At 44.0% G+C, this 15,081-nt stretch overlaps 1 protein-coding gene across 23 annotated transcripts in view; it reads right to left on the reverse strand.

Annotated features, from left to right (window-relative positions):
* FGFR2 (fibroblast growth factor receptor 2) overlaps positions 1–15,081 on the reverse strand; it is a 120,129-nt gene that overhangs the window by 16,196 nt on the left and 88,852 nt on the right. For all 23 annotated transcript variants that reach the window (NR_073009.2, XM_024447891.2, XM_024447890.2 and 20 more), the window contains 4 exons: positions 9,265–9,416; positions 6,301–6,422; positions 3,970–4,080; positions 2,007–2,197 (listed from right to left, as the gene is read on the reverse strand). Coding sequence is in view for 22 of the 23 variants with exons in the window: in XM_024447891.2 (XP_024303659.1) it covers positions 2,007–2,197; positions 3,970–4,080; positions 6,301–6,422; positions 9,265–9,416 (576 nt within the window). In the remaining variant the exon portion in view is untranslated. The remainder of the gene's footprint in view (positions 1–2,006; positions 2,198–3,969; positions 4,081–6,300; positions 6,423–9,264; positions 9,417–15,081) is intronic.

The raw sequence follows: 15,081 nt of genomic DNA on the forward strand, positions 1-15,081 counted from the left end.
GACCAGAATATCAAAATAGGCAGCCTACAGATGGGCTACCCTCCCCAGGCTTATTTAGGAAGAGTTCACAGCTGCAGAAAAGGAGGGATGGCACAGTGAGTATCCACCACTGCTGGGTTTGCTTGTTACACCTACTCAATCACTTGCTGTCTCCATGTCCTGCCCCACCTGCCCCCACACACATACACACTTGGGATAGTGAATGGATTGATTATATTTTATGGCTGGACCACTTAAAACTGAGCTGCAGGCATCACTGATACTTCACAAATCTCAATTCTTCAGCGTATTTCTCCTACAACAGATACCACTGTCACCACCCCCGGCAAATTCAACACTGATACAGAAATATAACCAGTAATATTATACAGTCCATATTCAAAGGACACTCACAAATGTCCTTTCTAAGAACTGGCCACCCTCCCCGACCCACAGGATCCAGTCCAGGATCCCACTTTTACACTTAGGAATTGTCTCATCGGCCCCCTTTTATCTGGAACCGTCTCCCCAGCAGTTTTTGTCTTTCGAGACACTGACATTTGGAAGCGATATCTTGTCAAATGTCCCATGTTCTGGATCTGTCTGGTTGTCTCTGGATGCCAAATAGATTGGCAAACTACCCTACATACACGCACACACACGCACGTGTACGTAAACACAATCACAGAAGTCAAAACTGTGTTTAATTAGTTTCCCAAAACCTATATATTGGGAGATTTTTATACGAAAAAGATCTGAAAAAGTCTTAAACTCTAAACTCTCCTGAAAAAATGTTTTTAAAGTTTTTCTTAAATTAAAAAGAAAAAAGGCAAAACCCCGTCTCTACCAAAACAAAAAACAAAAAACACAAAACTTAGCCAGGCATGGTGGCACATCCTCGTACTCCCAGCTACTCAGGAGGTTGAGGTGGGAGGCTCACCTGAACCCAGGAGGTCAAGGCTGCAGTGAGCTGTGATTATGCCACGGCACTCCAGCCTGTTTGAAAGAAAGAAAAAACCATCCAGAACATGGGGTAGCTCTGGGCCATGTTCCTATGTGGCCAGAGAGTAGAGCTGAGGTGCAGCCATCCCTCGAATCTCTGCACTCTGAGTGATCCGCAGGCCTTGGTGGTGTGACTGGCATGGCCCCATGGAGACTTGAGTTTGTGACTCTTCAGGCAACCCAGACCCCCAGTGACAGAGGGTGCACGCCGACCAGAGGATCTCACCTCTTTGGGGACCCAAGGAATTCCTGGCACTGCAATAAACTGCAATGCAGGTAGGAGCAAGGCCCACCTCTGCACAGGAGGCAGCTCCGCCCCTCCGCTTCCCTATGTGTGGGGCTGACAAGGGAGTTTTGGGTCATCCAAAATGCCTCCGAGGACATCTGGGCACCTGTCTAACTACTCTCAGAATAACTGAAATGTTTCAAGTTCCACGGTAAGTGGCACGCCTGGAATGCAGGCAGTCCACCTCAGGGGACCTGGCCAACTTCTAACCACAGAGGGTCACCCGCCAAACGAGGCAAAATAAACGCAGAGCTCCAGGACGCAAGGTTACTAAAATACCCCTTTGTTTGACCTTTACTCTTAGAATATTTAATGCCATATCAAACCCAAAACACTAAACACCTAAAGTCTATGTTCAAAAACTCAGTAACCACAAAATAAATGAAGCTTAAGAAAAAAAAAAAAGAAAGAAAGAAAATCATCCGAATTAAAGGGGGCCTTTAAAACCATCCATTTCCCACCTGGAGAGCTGAATTCCGAGGGAAATCACACATGGTCCTGTCTCAAAGAAGAGGTATCTTTTCTGCTCATCTCTGCAGCGATGCTATAGGTTTATGAGGCTGCTTTGGTTTTAAACAGTTCATTAAACTCAAATGGGAATAACGCAATAAATATTTTCCAGGTTGTACAAGACATGCGAGGGCTTGATCTAGCAAATGAGCATGTCCAAATTGCCTGTTTTCTTTAAAGACATTTTTAGTTGGATTCCACCCAGCCAAGTAGAATGTGAAAGACTCACTTTTTGGGAAGCCAAGTACTCCATGCCTCTGGCCAGCTGGTAGGTGCATGACACCAAGTCCTTGAAGGTCATCTGCTCCTCAGGAACACGGTTAATGTCATAGGAGTACTCCATCCCGGGTGGCCTCCGGGCTCGGAGGTATTCTCGGAGGTTGCCTTTAGAGGCATACTCAACTATGACATAGAGAGGCCCTGTTGAGGAAGAAGAGAAGCTCCCTAAAGAGAGAATCCAGGGTCTCCCCTTGGGCAATTCAGCAAAACATTTTTAGTTATTACAACCCATGCTTTTTTTTTTTTTTTTAAAGTTTAACATACAGCGGCTGGGCGTGGTGCCTCATATCTGTAATCCCAGCCCTTACAGAGGCCGAGGCAGGTGGATCACATGAGGCCAGGAGTTCAAGACCAGCCTGGCCAGCATAGCGAAACCTCGTCTCTACTAAAAATACAAAAATTAGCTGGGCATGGTGACACACACCTATAGTCCCAGCTACTTGAGAGGCTGAGACAGGAGAATCGCTTGAACCCAGGAGGTGGAGGCTGTAGTGAGCCGAGATCACACCACTGCACTGCAGCCTAGGCAACAGAGCGAGACTTTGTCTCAAAAAAAAAAAAAAAAAAAGAAGAAGAAAAAAGAAAAAGTTTTAACATACAGAAAAGCACACATAAAAATATGATTATAATCTCTCCAAAATGATAAATAAGCCCTTGGTCATGATAGCCTCAAAAGGCACAGAGACACAGTTGACGTGCTCTTCCCTGTCACTCTCATGCTGTCACCTGCGCCCTCTTGGAAAGCAATGGATCCCTCCACTCTATCCTTTTGGTTCATTTTAACTATTCAATAAGTAATATATTATTTTTAATCACATAAATGAATAATAAAGCTCTTAGATCTTTGCAACATTTTTTACCCATACATTATCCTTTTGGAACCTGTTGGGCTTATAAAAACAAAACCAGATCATTCCTTTTCACAGCTGCATATACTGTATCGTATAAACACACCACACTTTATTTATCCATTCCCTTATATGCATAGGCATTTGCTTCCAGGTTTCAGCCATAACAAACAGTAGGCAATGAACATCTCTGTACATGTTCCCTTACACACGTGTGCAATAATTTCTCCATGGTATAGGCTCGGGGTTGGCAGACTACAGCCTGCAAGCCAAATCCTGCCTACCGCCTGTTTGGGTAATTAAATTTTATTGGCATGCAGCCAGGTCCATTCATTTCTGTACTTCTAGCACTGCTTTCTCACTACTATGGCAGACACGAGAAGTTGCGACAAAGACCATACGGCCCACAAAAGTCTAAAATATCTACGACCTCCCTTTACAGAAAAAGTTCACCAATTACTATATAGACCTACAAGAGAAATTGCTAAGTCAAAGATAGGCGTTTTCAAGTTTACTAATTACTTAGCAAATTGATTTCAAAGTGCCAGTAAACATTCAATGGAAGAAGCCAGGGTCTCTCTCCCCCAGGGAAAATAACGTATTCCTTCATACCGCTTTCTCCTCTTTTAAGCTATTCTTGGGAGCTCAGCCATCTGTGACCCACAGCAAGATGTGGATTCTTCAATCCCTGTTTTAAGGGAAGAACTTCTCAACCAAAACATAGGATCTTATTCTGACAAATCTCTCTTAGCACTTACAAAACAAAAACATAAGGAGGCTGCCTTTTCCAAAACCCCCTCCAGGTTATGACCTAGAAACAGCAGCGCCCTCTAGGCCCTCAAATCCAAAGTCACCTGCACCCTCCTTTCCACTGGCCCCCAGGTACGGGCACAGACCCTTCTTTGTGTTCATGGCTAGGAACATCTTCCAATGGGGATTTTAAAAAGAACTTTAAACATGCACACAGGGTGCTCTGGGAGCAGGATCTGGAAGCCCAGCCATTTCTAAAATGATTCAATCAAACTGCAGAGTATTTGGGCGAATGCAGTTTTTCCTCCTACTCACCATCCTGTGTGCAGGCTCCAAGAAGATTTATGATATTCTTGTGTTTCCCAATCATCTTCATCATCTCCATCTCTGACACCAGATCAGAAAGGTCTTTCTCTGTGGCATCATCTATGAACAGTAGGCATATTCACAAATCAGTTCATTTCCTCTAACTCATGGGCAGCTACTGTTAGTTGCCAAAGACTTAGTTGAAACAGCATGAAATTGAATTTCAGAATCAGAAAAGATTTTCCAAATCATCTCCCTCATTTTATCGAGGAAGGGACAAAGGCCTACACAGGGAACTGCCTCACTCTGTGTCAAAGAGCTCACTGGGGGGCCAATGGGGCCAAGAGTCAGGACGAGAGCAGGGGCTTCTGACACTAATGCCAATTCTTTCCTAGACCATGAGATAATCTCATCCTCTGCCATATCTAAGGCGTCTCAGAAAACCACACCAAACTTCATGGTGCCTGAAACCAGCGAGGAGACCGAGGGTAGGGCCATTTCAAATCACTACAGACTTGCTCCCGACCAAGCATTCTTAACCCAGCCCCTCGAGGCCCTTAGAGCGTTCCGAGGTGGGTTCAGACGGTTCCCCATAAACAGGGCCATAAACGTGTGTGCATGTGCATTCTGAGCAGGTAAAGGGCTGCGACTTCTAGTGGCTTCTCAGAGGGCACTGCAGTTCCCATCCTAAGAAAAGTTACATAAACTTCCGCTCTGTAATTTCAAGCAAGAATGGCACAGGTTCCACATACGCGGGCTCGCAGTTAGCTTCTCTTAGATTCTCCTAAGTGGCAAGACTTTCCCATGTGCCCTCCACCTCAAGCTAATTCAGTATGGAAAAATCTGGGTTTCCTTTAAAAAAAAAATGAAATATGGGCATGGATAAGAACCATGTTGCAAACAGTTTTTTAGCTTCACAAAAGGAAGATCAATACAAGTGACTGTGTGTGCAAAATTTACACTGATGTATGTGAAGGAGGGAGCCACGGGCCATGAGGAGGGAGGGAGACACAGCCGTGGGCTGTAAGAAAGGACACGCCACAATGGCTTGGGGACTAATATCCTTCTGTGTCCTTACAGGGAAGGCTGCCAGCCTGGGCATCACAAGAGAAAGAGAACTCCCAGACCTCCCTTTTTGCAATATCCCATGTAACTCTGAGCTCCATTAGCAAAACCAGAAGTTCCGCCAAAAGAGATGAGAAGCCTGGGTCCTCCCCACACCTGGCCCTGGTACGCAGCCAGGGGCTGCCTCAGTCAGTGGTGCCATGACACCTGGGGCAAGACAGCACAGTGTTCCTCCCCGGCATCAGGCTCCAAGGTGGGGAACATCTCAAAGCACTCTAGTTTTCCTTGGGAGTCACTCAGATAAACAGCCTTTTAAAAAACCCAAAAAACAAAATGCACATCTTGTTGACAAAGTCCAGCCTGCTACTTCCCCTTGGGAGGGATGTGATGACTATCCCATGAGAACCCACAAAAGAAAGACAAAGCCTAACTCCAGAGCGCCTGCGACATGCCCAGCACCATATCCCAAGGATGGGCCTCTCTGCCTGGAAACGTGGGAAACACTCGGCATGGGATCTTCTTTCCGAGATCCCTACAAGAGGATTTATAATGTGACAGTTCCCTATAACTCTTCTCATAAAAGAATACTGCAGGACGAATAAGTTAATGGTTAAAAGTTCTTTAAGTTCTTTGGACATGGGCATGAAGCAGGGTTGGAAGGTTAACGTAGAAGTGTTCACAGTCCCACAAACACAACACGACATTTACATCTCAGGGTAATTGTTTATGTGTCCCAGGAGGCTCTGCACCAGCCCTGATCCTGTTCACTCCTTCTCAGCTTCTAAGTGACTCTCCCAGACCAGTGTCATTTCTGCTTTGTTCCTCACGCAAAAGAGAAGGCTTTCTGCTCCCTTACGTCTCTTCGTTCCCTCCAAAAACACAAATTTTCTTGTACTTGTAAAGTTAAGGTTTAAGTCCCAAATCTAACACACCAACTCCTAGCTAATAAATTCAATTATATGTGAGTTGATAATTTCTAAGCACATAAAAATACAGAGAGAATGAAGAATTGTGGTCACGAAGAAGGAGTCAAAGAATAACTCTATGTAGGAGGCTACCGCTTTCTAACAAAACTGGCTTTTCTTTATAAGTACACACAGCTCAAGATAAATAGTCTGTCCGAGATGCTGATTTATACCGAAAACTTCTCAACCCCTAGGTCAACTATGTGCTCTCTGACCCCGTGCCATGATAGAGTTCACATGCCACAAAAGGAACTTTCTTGATAAGACTCTCCACCCAGCCCCTCCCCGAGCCTCCCGCCTCCCCGCTCACCTTTCAACATCTTCACGGCCACGGTGACCGCCTCCTTGGGCTTGTCTTTGTCAATTCCCACTGCTTCCGCCATGACCACTTGCCCAAAGCAACCTTCTCCCAGGGGCTTGCCCAGTGTCAGCCTAAATGTGTAAATAGGGGATTAGCACATAGCATCTGGTGATGGGGTGTAGTGAGGGAAATTCCAGAACTAAATATAAAAATCTTTCAGCGGCTTACTAAAGCATGGAGTGCTTATCATATGGAACTAATGAGACTTAGGGTACACACGCGCCTGAGTATTTTCCTAGTGACGTTTTAGAGAATGTCAATTACTGGTGGAACGGCTATTAAATTTCACATTGGTATTCTCGGTTTATTTTCTTTAGGGAAGGTATCCTTGCTAGTGCGGTGGTCAGCTTTCCTAAGTGCCAGAGAAGAGCTTTTGATCTTGAGCCAATTAAATATTTGTAATTTAGAATGGCTCAAAGAAAAAACGTTAAGACTGTTCTTATTTTTTTGTCCCTGTAAAATGGTGGCTTTAAAATTATTATTCAAATACCAATGGATTTTATGGTCACATTCCTTGCCAAGTTACAGGATATGCCTCTTAAAAGCATTTCAAGGAATCTCTAATTTTTTACTAAAAAGAAAATTCTAAAAAATTGGGGACTTTTTTTTTGACATAAGTTTAAAAGTCCTTATGACTACATAAAATTAACAATGAAGAAAATCCAAAGTGAACACCACAAATTAAATTTCTAAGATTACAAGGTCTATGCACATCGGACGAATAGCCATATATTGTCCTTGTGCATTCCAGAAACCAACAAAACGCAAAAGTCTTTGGAATACTTATGAATACGGCTCTTTCTAACTTAAGCATAACACAGCAAAGCATGGAGCTGCCATTAGTAAACAGTATTTAAGGTAAGTACACAATAGTTTGCAAAAGTGCAGCATAAAGACTAAGGGCAGCATGTGCTATGCTGAGGTCATTTTGTTTCTACCCAGAACGAAAATTAAATTTAACATCTTGGCAGAAAATAAATATTTGCATTGGAAAAATGGCTAATTTATGTCCCACCGCCTTGCTACTACAAGCATAACAATCCTTTCTTTGTATAACTTCTGCCTCCGATCTAATAAACTGCTTCTAAATAGCCTTCATTCATTGGAAATCTGTTCCACCTACGTTTGCGCTAAACACTGTTTTGAAATGTTTAGCACTCAGATTTTCCACACTCAGGGTACCCCGGGTGGGAGGTAACAGTTGGGCACATACAGACTTCCACTGTTGACTGTGGTGTCACAGGTGGCAAAAACTATGGACTAAACCCGAAAGCTGCAATTTCTTAAAATATGATCACAACTCCCCAGTTCAGTTATATATATAGGAATGTGCACATGAACCTATCTGTGTATATAATCACACACAAACTAGGGCTGGCGGAGTTCACAAGAAACATCCATTTCTCCACATCCTACAGGTAAAGAAACCATTCTTTGTGTTTTCTCTGGTGCCCCACCAGTAAATGTCCAATTAACATGCCTTGAGTGAATGAATAAGTGAATGAGTGAGTGGTCTTTTCACTACAGTATACAAATCAACTGGAAATTACTTCCATTAACACTCTAACCAAATAATATCCATACAATTATTCAGTCCTAGCTAACGGTACACATCTCTAAATTGGCACTTGGGAAACAAAACTGATGTGACATCACGTGAATCAAAATCAGAAGTGCCAGCCACATAAGCTACCTCTCCCTTCCAAATAGAGCTCATCAGATCAGTCTCTGGAAGAGCTTATCTTTGCATTTCCAAATGTGTATAGGTACACATGAGAAGTGTATATAATCTGAGGAGCTACTGAAAATGTCAAGGCAAACAGGGTAGCTGCTTATAAGCAAGTCAAGAGCTTATTCCAGTGTATGTGATGCAGAAGTAGTCAGCATTTCCACCTTCCCGTACTCTCAAGCTGTGACGACAAAAAGTACCCCAGAAGTGAGTGGACAGCCCTACAATGACCACTGCACTTCCTTTCATAAGGAGGATCTAGGGGTCGGTCCCTGCCTAGAGGACGAGGGCTAGGAGCTCAAATTCTGCCCACTGACTCCATGCCCCACACGATGATCCTGCTGAGGTTTGCAGTTCAGAGCTCCCAGGTTACCACCACGTGAAGGGAAATGAAAGGAAAACTCGCACAAGCCAAGAACTCTGCTCAGTCCTGGGAGGTCTGAACCACCACCCTCATTTTATGAGAATGAATTTCAGAGAATCAGGTGCCTCACCCGAGGTTGCCCAGCCACTGTCTGGCAAAGCCAGGATTCAAATGCAGCCCAACGGAGCTCCAGTACGTGGAGTTCAAGCGAGACCAAGAGATACGTAGCCCCAACACCACCCAGGTGGCCATATTTTGACTAAACATCTGATTGGCACACCTCTGTATCATCCAACAAGGAAAATATTATGGATCACAGAAATTAGATGTCAGGTACCATATTTGAAGCTTTTCAGCCCAATATGACATTAATAACCAATGAGAACAGCAACACTGGGTAGCGGTCCTTAAGGCCATTTATATTCTGCATCTAATTTCTCCACAGAAGTGAACAGAGAACAGTCTTGTTCTAGTAACCAAAAGCTAGAATGTCAGATCTGTTTTATAAATTGGATAATTCTACTTTTATTCCATTTGACGGAGTCTGAATTGCCCAGACACTTAAAAAATGATAACCAGATGCCATCTTCTTTGGGGACCAGCCAGGGGCAAGTAGCTCTGCTTTCAAGGAGTTATTTTTTTTTTTAAATCCATTTTTTTCTTTTCCAGGAGTTGGTTATTTAGAAATACAATCTTACTCCTGCTGACATCATCACACCAAGACCTTTGTGGCTAAGGGTCATAAAAAGAAAATGTTAATCCAATATCCCCATTTATAGCTGAGTCTCCATCCTGGGACATGGCCAAGAGAAGTACTCACTTATCTCTTGGAAACTCCCATTTTGGGTCCTCTGGAAGTTCATACTCGGAGACCCCTGCCAGCATGGGGGTGTCTGCCGTTGAAGAGAGGCGTGTTGTTATCCTCACCAGCGGGGTGTTGGAGTTCATGGAGGAGCTGGACTCAGCCGAAACCTGGATACAAAATGCAAAGACACAGATGTAATCCTGGCTCCATCTGAGAAGGCTGGAAGTCAGCCAGAGCCCAGCCAGAGTATCGAATCTTAGAAAGGAATGGGTTGGGGGCTGGCAGAAGTCAGAAACCAAATTAGAAAACCACTGGAATCTAACTCCTCTGCCCTCCAGTCCATGCAGTACCAGATTTCATCCAAATTTTATGTTCCTATGTTCAGGTTTTTCTATGAAATTTTTCTATACCATCTGATCACAATGTAAATTTTCTTTCTGTCCTAATTCCTCCAGAGAGTCACTTGAGGACATGCAGACAGTCCTCTCTGGCTTCATTAGTGCCTTTATGGTTGTACCTGCACCTGTACTGGAGCCCTGGATAATGGATCCCCTCTCAGACCACCCGGATCATGGATCAATGCTGTGCTTATGAAATTCTACGAAAACTTTTAGGAAATTGGCTCTACCATATTTCCTCTGTCTTTGGAAATGTAAAGTGGAATATCTCAAGGAAAGAGTTCTAGGACTTGAATGTGGAAGACATTCAGTAGCTCCGAGTCCCTTTAACTCAAAATAACCCCAGACCCCAGCATTGGGGGCCATTCTTTGTTTCTCCCCAGTCCTTCTGGAAACTTATTGATGGCCAGGCTATTCAGTGGAAATGGGCTGCCTCTTGTCTTCGGTTTCAGAAACCAGTGCACTAAACACGTGGGATGAAGCATCAATGGAAAGAAAATACACCTTTTCCCATAACCACACAAGAGAACTCCTCTCCCACCTGGCAGTACACAGGGCTCCACCGAGTTACTTTCTTGTTTATCCTGATCCATTTCAGTGTGTCTGATAAAATGATTATTTCTTAAATATATCACTGTCCTTTGGCTGGTTTCTATGGAAAAAAAAAGACTCACACAGAGCACACTGGAAGGCCACTTTTGAGGATGACTACGCAATCTTAGTCTGACCACAGGCTGCTTGAACACTGTCTTATTCTAAACCATGAACAAGACTTTGGCCCAAGAGAACAAGAATGTGAAGTTAACCACGATCCATCTCCAAGCAGGCAACTAGCCCACCCTGGGCTCTGTCTCCTGCGTGACTGCCCAGGTGGATAGTACTCCTGGATGTGCTTACAAACGCCTTCAATCACACTGGCAAAGACTGAGTCCAGATGAACAAATTTAGGTGGGATGAACTTTCACAGGGTGGGTCCTGGGCTCTTCTCACAGGGAACCAGAGGACCTGTCCTGTTTGAAAAGCTTTGAATCTCGCCTTTGTAAACCCAGACTTCCCTCAAAGCAGGCTGGAAATTCAAGAAGATGCCCAAGAATAGATTAGGGGAAGAAAATCATTTTAGGATTAGGAAGTTGTTTTCAGTATTAAAATAAAGAAGTGGGCCATTTTTCACATAGAATTCCTATTATCTTTTAAAACGTACATGAGCACTTCCTGAGCCTTCCATTCAATCTTTTGGCAGGGGGCAGTTATTCCTAAACTTCATTATGCAGATAGTATGAGCAACATTTATTCATTGTATGGTCAAAATGTTTTAAAAGCGGGAACTAAAGAATCATTAATTGTGGAGCTGAGATCCTCACACCCAAGTGTCTGGGTTGCACAAGCAAATGGCAGAAGCAAGCGGGAAAAGACGAGAAGGTAAATGTGGGTGCTCCTGGGGAATCCGTCCTGCTCCCCACTGAGGTCACAGACTAGGCATAAGCCCCACCCTGGATGAAACAGACAACTTTAAAGTCCCCGCCATGTGGTATCCAACCTCACTGTAGTGAGCTAACCTCGTCTGCGGGACACATCAGAAGCCAGGAACTTTCAGAGAACATCAAGACTTCCAGTTTGCATTGGTCCACAGGAACATCTCAAGCTCCACCTACAGAGCTCAGAAAGATTCAGGAGCGGGTTTAACGGCCAATGATGCTTCCCCAAATCTTTCTGTCCTCCTAATTCATTCTGCATCAGGGCCGTGTGCTGTGGATGCTTAAGTACGCAGGTGTTTTCAAGACTAAGAAGGTCTTCTGAAAGTTCTTCCCCATGAACAGGCAAAAATCACCACTCATTGCAGGGGGACCTTATGCTTGAGGATATCATGGGCAAGAAGCTCCAGCCAAACTAGTAAGAACCGGCCGGCCAGGCGCGGTGGCTCACGCCGTAATCTCAGCACTTTGGGAGGAGGAAGTGGGCAGATCACTTGAGGTCAGGAGTTTGAGACCAGCCTGGCCAACATGGTGAAACCCTATCTCTACTAAAAATAAAAAAAATGAGTCGGTTGTGGTGGTAGGCGCCTGTAATCCCAGCTACTTGGGAGGCTGAGGCAGGAGAATCGCTTAAACCCAGGAGGCAGAGGTTGCAGTGAGCTGAGATTGCACCACAGCACTCCAGCCTGGGCAACAGAGCAAGACTCCGTCTCAAAAAAAAAAAAAAAAAAAGAGGCCTAGCAATGGGACGACTTCCGCAAATGGCCAGGGTCTGGCAGGTTGTACAGCCAGAACACTCTCTGCATGGCCTGCAGCGTAGCCCCTCATCACTGGATACCAGTTTCCAGGATTCCACTATGGGGTGCATAGGAAGCTGCAATCAATAGAGGAGTGGGAACCGATTAAGCAATTGCTTGGGACCGCAGTCCTGGATGACGTTAACACCCAGCAGAGGCAGAGGCATGGCTGGGCTTCTGTGCCTCCTCCCTGAAAATCACCGCTCTCATCAGCGAGGCTCACAGAATAGGATGTGGGGAAGGCAGCTGTCCCACAGCGAGGTGTGAGAACAAGGGCACTTAAACGTTTCTGGAAGGATATATAAGAGACTTAGCAGTGATCACCTGTGGGCAGAGAGATTAGGAGTTGAGAGAGGGGGTAGAAAATACATTTTATTTCAGAACTTTCTAGACCATTTGGATTTTATGACCATGTGTATGTAATTCTTTTATGTTCTAGAAGAAGTACTTTATTTAACAAAAATATTTTTTAGAATAATAAGGATCTGAGCTGAGGCATGAACAACGGAAAAGAAAACGAAGGGCATATGCTTGAAATATGCTGACTTCTAAAATGAGTGAAAACTTACAAGATCACTGCTTTCGGCCCTTCCTTCTGCTACCAGGCTAGGTTTTGTGGCATCTCTGCATCCTTCGATGTGGGCAACAGCCAATCCCGTTGCTGCCCTTCCTGTGCTCATCATTCACAACATGAGGCCCCGCATTAGGCAGGCTGCATCCTGACCAACTGCAATAACATGGGACTGTGCGGTCAGATTGTCAGGGTCCCTGTCCCAGTTTGAGCACTCACTCACTGTGTGAGCTTTGGGAAATCACTTAACCTTTCTAGACCTGGGTTTCCTCATCTGTTAAAAACAAGACAGGGGCCAGGCAGAGTGGCTCACACCTGTAATCCTAGCACTTTGGGAAGCCAAGGTGGGCAGATCTTCTGAGGTCAGGAGTTCGAGACCAGCCTGACCAACATGGTGAAACCCTGTCTCTACTAAAGATAGAAAAGTTAGCCGGGCATGGTGGTGAGTGCCTGTAACCCCAGCTACTGGGGAGGCTGAGGCAGGAGAATTGCTTGAACCTGGGAGGCAGAGGTTGCGGTGAGCCGAGATGGTGCCACTGCACTGCAGTCTGGGCGACAGAGCAAGACTCCATCTCAAAAAAGAAAAGAGGAGACAGGAACAGGTCCAACTGCACAGCATTAATGTGATGATAAAATGAGGGAAAAAAAAACTGATGAAGTGCTTAGTGCTAGGCCTGGCACTAAGAGCTCAGTTAATGTCTGCTACCAACACTGCAATATTTTCTCTTAGTCCCTTTAGAATCATTTGCTGCCCAGATCTGAGAGAACAGACAAAGACACTTCTCTCTGGGTAACTTGGAGCGTTTGGAGCCTAGGGTGGTTCTGTGTGTAAGATACAGTCAGTCCTCCATATCTGTGGGTTCCGCATTCATGGTTTCAACCAATCACAGATCAAAAATATTTGAAAGCTAATTAATAAAAAATAACAATACAACAATTTTAAAATACAAATAAAAAACAATACAGTATAACAACTATTTACATAGCATTTACAACGCGTTAGTTATTACAGGTATCACTAGAAATGACTAAGTATATGAGAGGATGTACACAGTTCATATGCAAATACTACACCATTTTAAATAAAGGTCTTGGGCATCCACAGATTTTGGTATATTCGGGGTTGTTAGAACCAATCCCCAACGCATACCAAGCGACGATTGTACTGTCAAACTGTGTGCAACCAGGAAGATAACCCAGTGACATTAAAGGCTGACTGCAGAAGATATGCCTTAGTGGGCATGTCTGATTTGCTAGATGAGGCCCTCTGCTCACTGCCAAGGATGGGCTGGGGTTCTAGTAAGCAGGAGATGAAGAATCCAGGAGTCAGGGAATCATCTCAGGGCAGGAGGAAAACTGGACAGTAAGAGGGTCCTAATGACAAATATGGCTTAGGGGTTACCTCAGAAGAGAAAAATTTAACATTCAGTCTGAAGTTCACCCCTCTATGGCTCACCCATGACCCCAAAGGAATCTGCATCCACAAACCCCTGGCAAAAGTTCACATGTATCTACACCATCCCCCAAACAGACTGTCTCGAGAAGATTTTCATGTGACAGCTTTTCAAATGGAAAGCCTAAAAATAAATAAATAAGAAAGCCTTTATCAACTTTATTGTCATTATTATTAGAATTTTAAAAATGAGGTCTACAAGAAGGATGACTTACGGGAATTTTGTTCAGATGAAGTACGGAGATTCAGATTAAATGTACAAACCTGGAAAATACTTTTATAAGAACACGAAACGGGGGAAAAGGGTAAGAAAACGTGCAAAGTCTAAGAAACTATAGAATTTGATTGCTCTGTCTACTGAGGTATATCTTAATTTTACCTCCATGCATTTTTACTATGCTTTTAAAATCCCCTCTGGGGCTATAAAATACGGCTGGCTTTCTCTTCATTCCCTTCCACTCCAAGAGCGAGCCTGTGTTGGGGGCTTGGCCCGGTCCTGGGCAGGCCATTCCCCTGTGGGACTCCATGTTTTACTGGGCATCTTTCCTCTGAATCAGGAACCTCAAATAACTCCCACTGCTCATCTCTGAAATCCTTCTACTTCTTTAGCACTATTAAATTCTCTTTTCTTTTGCACAAAATCATAATCTTCCTTATTCTTCAATTCCTACCTAGAAACTTCAATTCCAGAGTTTCATTCCTAACCAATTTTAACATATTCTCTTGTTAGTGATAAGTGAGTTACTTATAAACAATCAACACGAACACTCTAGTAAACTGTTTTCCCACTCCCGAATCTTGGCAGGCATTTTTTTTTAAGCATGTATTTTCACAGACTCCAATTCCATTTCCTCACTTTCCGGAATCTCTCCAGCATGTGCCATAAGTCAAGCTTTTAAGTAAATGTGCTTTTCGTACATTTCCATAGTACATATGGGAGATTAAGTGAGGAAGTGTTTTTTTTTTTTCCTTTCTTTTTAAAGGGCCACCAAGAAACAGTGTTATCTGTTTCTTTTCTTTTTTTTTTTTTTTTTTTTTTTTTTTGGTTTGAGACAGAGTTTCACTCTCATTATCCAGGCACGATCTTGGCTCACTGCAACCCCCGCCTACCGGGTTCAAGTGATTCTCCTGCCTCAGCCTC

The sequence above is a fragment of the Homo sapiens genome, chromosome 10 (assembly GCF_000001405.40).
Source record: "Homo sapiens chromosome 10, GRCh38.p14 Primary Assembly".
NCBI classification, from domain to species: domain Eukaryota; kingdom Metazoa; phylum Chordata; class Mammalia; order Primates; family Hominidae; genus Homo; species Homo sapiens.